Raw genomic sequence first — 7,378 nt, 5'->3', positions numbered from 1 at the left:
TACAAACATTTATAAAGTACCTGTTATTCTTTTTTTTTTTTTTTTTTTTTGAGACAGAGTTTCACTCTTGTTGCCCAGGCTGGAGTGCCATGGCGCAATCCCAGCTCACTGCAACCTCCGCCTCCTGGGTTCACGCTATTCTCCTGCCTCAGCCTCCCAAGTAGCTGGGATTACAGTCATGCGCCACCATGCCTGGCTAATTTTTTGTATTTTTAGTAGAGAGGGGGTTTCTCCATGTTGGCCAGGCTGGTCTCGAACTCCCGACCTCAGGTGATCCACCCACCTCGGCCTCCCAAAGTGCTGGGATTACAGGCGTGAGCCACTGCGCCGGACCCAGTACCTGCTATTCTTAAAAGGTTGCTAAATATAGCCACAATCACCATATATTCATCATAATTCTCATCTCATTTGTTCTAATTTACAGATCATATTAATGTTTTGAGCCTAAATTTGAATTAAAAGGTCAAGATGATAATTGCTTTTTAACCGTTTCCTTCATTGATATGTCAAGAAATATTTCACAGTCACCTTTTTATTTAATGAGTAATTTCAACCACAAAAAGTGAAGTCCTATTATTGAAAGTTTTTGTTTACTATTTTTTATTATTTTTACTTTATTGTTTTAGATGTTGATATGTTTTCCACTTGATCGAATTTTCATATATTAAATATGGACAACAAATAATTAAAATATTATATAATATTCTGTTCTATAGAAGACACTGGCCTGAAATGATTCAACATCCCCTCTACACTATCTTTGGAAAACTTTGAACATTCTGAGCTCTGTTTCATTGTCTAAAAAACAAGGAAAGAAGTCATATTTAAGAGAGCCTTTAGAATTCTAAATTTTCTAAATCTTCATAAAAGCATGAGAAAAGTTTTTTTTTGCAAAGAATAGTCTAAAAAATAATTTTTACACTTTTCAATTTCATATTTTTGTGGAATGTTGGCCAAATAAAATACCATTATAATCACAGCTATATATCAAAGCCAGCACAATATGCAGATTTCTAATGTGTACTTTATCGGTATTACTTACATTAATATATGCAATTAATAAAGATTTGTTTCAAATGTATGAATGAGTGACAACTGACTAAGAGATAGCCAATCTACTATAGTATACTAGACAGTTCAGTTTCACACTTATACAGCAAAATTTCAGTTTTCTTTTCGGCAACATCTTCTTCTAATGCACTTCTATGTCAATATATAACTTCAGTTCTTAGGTAAACAAGAGTGGGAAAGTGTCATGCTCCAATCCCAAGTATTTCTTCCCAAACTGTGAAATTCTGATGCACTCTCAGTGACTCGGGAAATTTCATAAGGTGAAATTTTCTTACACAATCTTCAGTATTTGTGTTTTATATGTATTATACATATCACACGAGTTGTATATTTTTGTTATTTTATAATGCTGCATGTTTTTAACATCAAGGGCTAATAGGATTAAGGAAAAACAGAGATAGGTAAATAAAATAAAAGTATGAGAAATAAGGAATTGATGATGAAAAATATGCTCCTTGGAAAAAGGAGTGCAACATTAAATGAGATGTTTCCTTCTCAAAGCTAAATACTCTCATCCAATCGGGGCACAAGAATGTGAAACAAATACCATGGATCACTGAAACATGGACTTGTGGTCTGCCAAGACCTTAGACCATACAGATATAGCAAGTCACTCAGTTCCTATTCTTTATCAGAAAATCTTTCTCAGCAAGAGGCAGCTAGTTTTTTCTCGCAGCAAGCAAGACTCTGTGTGTGAAGCTTTGAACAATCCTGCACTGCAGGGAATGTTTTGCAGAAACTGCATGACAAGATTGCCAAAAGGATTACCTCTTGATTTCCTTTGTCCTTGGGTTTATTTCATCTAGTAATGGGGCAAAGATGGTGCCTTCTACAATGAAGGGAGAATTTATTCATGAGTCATATACAACAAAATTGTTTCAAAATCCTTGTTCCTCATAGTTCTCTAAGAAAACAACATTCCTCATTGAATATAATATGTATGCTTTTTCTTTTAAAAAATGTTTATCATTATACTATACATTGTAAGCATAGAATAATTTGTTCTTGCAACAGCTTGAAGCCAGACTCCTAAAAAGAAGTATTTTCTTCCTCTCTTTAATAAAAGGCATGAACAACTATCAAGAACACAATGTAGGGTCAGTTTAAATAAAGACCAGGCCATTTAACTATGACAAAAAATTCTGTAAACAACATAATACTATAAATTCCAAAACATGTTACTTTTTTAGGTTACTTTGAGATCTGACACCCTGAAAAAACATACTTAAATGTGAATTATGATTACAACAACATGGCTGTCCTGATTTAAGAAACATGGGGCTCAGTATCAGGACGCCTGGCTTCATGTACCACTTTTGAATTTAGCATTTGTCAATCTGAATCTCAGTGACCTCACCTGTGTAATGGGGGATGATGATGCCTAGCCTGTTGAACTCACATGGTAATTTTGAAGGTACAGTAAAATAAGGTTTACACATTTTCATAGAATTCTAAAGATACAGTGTACAGAAAAAAAATCAAAAACTAGTGAACAGGAAAATTTATCATTGTAGTCTTTCAGTTTCAGTCTACCATAATTATTCTGATGCAACCAGAAATTTATACAGACAGGGAGCTATGAAAGTATACAGGAGTATAACTTATGTTCTTTATAAAGATTATACTTTATGTTCTTCATAAAGTAACACTTGATCTTGAGACCTGAAAGGTGAATAAGCAGGAACAATTTAAAAGATCAGCAATAAAGATAGCCTCCAAGTGGATGCGTCACTAGGTGCAAAAGATGGGAGTAGCAAGGGAAAGTACAGGGGCTGAGGTAGAGAAAAGATATAGGAGAGTAATGTGATTAAATTCTGGAGAGGTAGGTAGGTTTCATCTCATGTTAATTTATTTAATACAAGTTTTTGCTTAATGAATAATAATAAATCATTGAAGGGCTATTTAAAACAGTAGAGTAATATAATCAGAAGCCAGTTTTTAGATGAGTCTAGCAATAGTGTGGAGACTAGACTGGAAGAGAAAATCGTAGATCATAAGGATGACTAATTTGGTTATTTCAAAATTCCAGGCCAGAAATGGTAACAGGACAATAGGCATGACAGTGAAGAAGGAGAGAAGTGAAAGATTTGGCAATGTATCTTAGAGATAGAATTGTCAACTCTTGGTGAAAGCTTAAATATGGTAAGAGAGAAGGGTCAGTAGTAACATCTCATTGCTGAGGTTCTCAGTGTGTGATGGTATTATTTATTGCTGTAGGGAATTCTGGAGGAGGACTATGTTTGGTGAGGACATGCCAGGTAAACAGATACCTAGGTCAAAAAAGACATCTATAGTACAGATAGGAAATTATAATTTATTTTTGTAACAATGACAATAACATCATCAGTATAGATAAATTAACAGGGAAAGGGCACTAAAGGAAGGAAAAAAATAGCATAGCACCTTAAGGAACTCCAAAATTAAGAACATTCATGACAGATATGCCAATGAGATGCTTACTACAAGTCGCTATTGTGTTAGATATGGCAGATAAAAGCAATAATATTCAGACATTTTCCCACAAGTTCACAGTCTAGGACAGAATGAAGGAAACTGATACTTAAGCATCAGTCAGTGCTAAAGGTTTCTATAAGAAGACAACGGATGGACACTTTTTTCTAGAACCATGGATATGGTTAGAGAAGAGGGGAAAAAATCAAGAGGAGATGATAGCTTGGCTGAGTACAAAAGGACAATTTTATTATTTTGTTTCTTAATTTGTTTGCCCATTCAATGAAAATTTTTAGAGCTCTATAATATTCCAGGCACTACTCTAGTTGCTGAAGACAGACTGACTCAGATATCATGCTCCTGTTCAAAAGGAGATTAATTTACCTCACAGGGGAGACAGTATATAAGTAAACAAGTAGACAATATAATTTTATTGAGTCCTTATACAATAAAGGCAATCAAACAGGATGATTACAATTGATATCGGTGGCTTCAGTGGAGAGAGGGATGTGTAATCTGATCAAGGAAGTCCTCACTAAGGAGATGCCCCTTGAACATAAGCTTGAATGACAGGAAGGAGCCAAACACAGAACAATTTGTAGGAGGGAAAGAGAACAATCATATCTCCCCTTCTCAAAATATCTAAGTTTGGAACTCATTTTTTTGATGAAAAGGGAGGGCAGTCAACAAAGTTATATGAACAAATGTAGATAGAAAATAAAATTTGCAGCAAATTGATTAAGTAGTCTTATCTAACTTCCTCAAGTGAAACATTAGGTAATATAATCAAGTGTCATTGAGTATGAAAGAGAGATGTTGATGTTCGAAGAGACATATGGTATGAACTGCTCATTTTGAAGAGTAGAGACATGAATAATCAGAAAACATAGTAAGTTTTTTTGACAGTGTAGACCAATACATGATCTTTAATTTAAAGTAAGACAGGTCAGCACATCTGTGTTTTGAATTATTCTGTTTTTCCTTCCAGGTCATTTAATTAGTTTTTTTCTGGTTTGAAATTTGCAAAAAGTTGGGTTAGGGTTTGTAGTTTTGTCAGTTAAGTATGACACAAGAAAAATGGGGCAGGAGTAATTATAAGAATAGATGAAGAAATGCAAACTAGGTAAGGAGGGAAGTCAGGCTATGAAGCAAATGAGGGTAGAGTAAAGGATTGGAGTACATGATGAGCCTGAAAATATACTTAAGTAAGAGTATTACATTATGGGATCTGTACATAAAGGGCCAAGAGTAGAATGCTTTACAGTGTGATTTTGCATCCTGTGCAATTGATAGTGGCAGCAAGTTCCAAAGCCATACTGTTCAATAGCCTGTGGCTGTTTTAATTTAAATTGTAATTCATTAAAATGAAATAAAATTACAAATACAGTCCCTGAGTTGTACTAGCCACAATTCACGTGCACAAACAGCCAAATGTGGTTAATGATTATTTCACAGAGACAGAACAACTACATCAACACAGAAAGTTCTGTTGGACAGTGCTGGTCCATATTGCCATCCTGCGAATGGATGGAAGAGACAGAGAAAGCAATATTGTAAATGAAAAGGACAAAAACAGACAAACGAACGAGAAACTGTGATGTTGATTGAGTCTTGACTGGTGATAGGAGGACAGAGAGAAAAATGTTGAGGGGCTAAACTTTAATGTAAGTGTCAGCAACTGAAATTTGTCAGGAAAAATATATGATTATGCAACTTGAAAAGATCTGGGTGTCGTAAAAGGAAAAGAGGTGCATACAGGCAATCCAAGGGAATAGAGGAAGGGGGCAAAGACATTCCAGGAAGGGAGGGCATCATCTGCAGGCTCACCAAGGCCTGAGAGGAGTTACAGTATTTTGAAAGATTAGAAGTAGTTTCAAATGGCAGGTTGAATGAGAAATGGAGTGCCCAAATATGCACATACATAATTTCTGTTTCTTTACACAATCAAGTCCACCCACGGCCTCTCTGAAGAGAGTTGTTAAGAATCTTACTATTGTCATTATATTTAATCCCCTCAAACAAGAGCCATACATATAAACTGCCATGTCAGCAGCTCCTTCATCAATCTATTTGCATAAATTACATCACCACTTCCCCTAACAACCAAATGATTACTCAAAGTGAACAGTGAAATACATTTAGTGATTATATGACTAGCTAATATTATGTTGAATAAGTACATCAGTGGGACCGTCAAATCCAATAGAAAAAAAATTCTTCCAACTGGAAAAAATTCATATATATGTATATACATGAATACATGTATTACATACAGATGTAATATGATACACATGGGTATATATGTAACCTATGTACATATACACACATATATGTTGTGTGGCAGATGCACCTGAATGTGTGTTTTGAGTTCTGAGCTAAGGTAATTGGGAGTAGTCAACCCAGATATTTATTCCTTACCTATGAGGAACATCTAAACCCCTGGCCTGCCCCATGGAATGCAGGCCATATAGGGAATCAGGCCCTTTGTTTTGGGGTAAATGAAGGTTACCAGGTGGAGGTTGTTAGTAGGAGGGTGCTAAGTGAAAATGCTATATAAACTGCATGCTTTTTGCAAGCGGTTGGGGTTCTCCTATCCAGCCTGCCACCATTGGACTGCTCTGTAAGTAAATCCTCTCAATAAACCCTTTGTCTTGTTTCCTGGCTCTGGGTGTCTCCTTTGGCCTCTTGAACTTGGTGCCACCCCTATTGAAGTTAATAGAGTTCCAGTACAACATATTTATGCACACATACACACACACAGGAAATAGATAGATAGATACAAGGGTAGATAGCCAGATATCTTCCTACAGCATCCATCATCAATGCATACATGGAAGAAAACAGGTGACTGATTATTCATTAAATTTCACAGGATTAAAAAAAAGACATTTTGAGTAAAAATAGTAATAAGAAAAATACTTAGCAGGCTGTGAAGGATTTTTTCTGTCTAATTTTTCCCCACATAAAATCAAGTGAAGAAGCAATTATCAAGATAATTCAAGTATAAAAAAGAAAAAAAAACTTGCCTAAATTATCTGAGTAGTTAATGAAAAACTTGAGCTTGAGGCCTCAATCATCCAAGTAAATGAATCCATTTTTCAGTATATTTTGCATGTAAATGTAATGAATAAATTAATCCTAAAGACCTGGTAGCTAATTTACCTAAGGTGCTCCAGAAGCTTTTTTGTTTCCCCTCAAGGTATAATTTAGTTTTTGTTAGACTAGGTCCAATATTATTCAACATATGACATGTATTATTGTTATTTATGTGAAAGGCATGTTAAACTCTGATCAAAACAGTAAAGATGAAGGCTATGCCTACACATAGTCAAAACATTCATACGAAAAGGTATAAATTGGTCCACCTCTCAGCTCGCTTAGCCTGAATGAACACCATAGGAGTATTTCTTATTTGGAAATTAATGAATCTTGATAGCTTAGACTTTGCCTCTATTAATGTGTTTTAAAATGTTAAAGTTATAACTACAGACAATATTTAATTAACATAATTAACATGACCAAAGATGACATGGCCTGTTCAATCTGTGCTTTTTAAGACATTTTTCACGACCATCCAAATTATAAAATACAAACATATAATTTCTTGCCAGATGTTTAAAGTTGTCCTTGAATAATCTTTCAGAGTTCCAAATTGGTGAAAGGTAATCACAGCAGCATTTTTATAATGCAGTTAAAAGAATACCATGAGTATGTTCAAGTAATGCACTCCTAAACTCATAGTACAACCTTGATAAATACATTCAATTTAATTGATTTAAATGAATGATGTAAAGAGAATGAGTCCAGCCCAATTTCCAAAGAGAGTGGTTTTATTTCAGAAATACCATTATCATCC

Source organism: Homo sapiens, chromosome 1 (assembly GCF_000001405.40).
Source record: "Homo sapiens chromosome 1, GRCh38.p14 Primary Assembly".
NCBI classification, from domain to species: domain Eukaryota; kingdom Metazoa; phylum Chordata; class Mammalia; order Primates; family Hominidae; genus Homo; species Homo sapiens.
Note: the sequence above shows the minus strand (reverse complement) of the source record.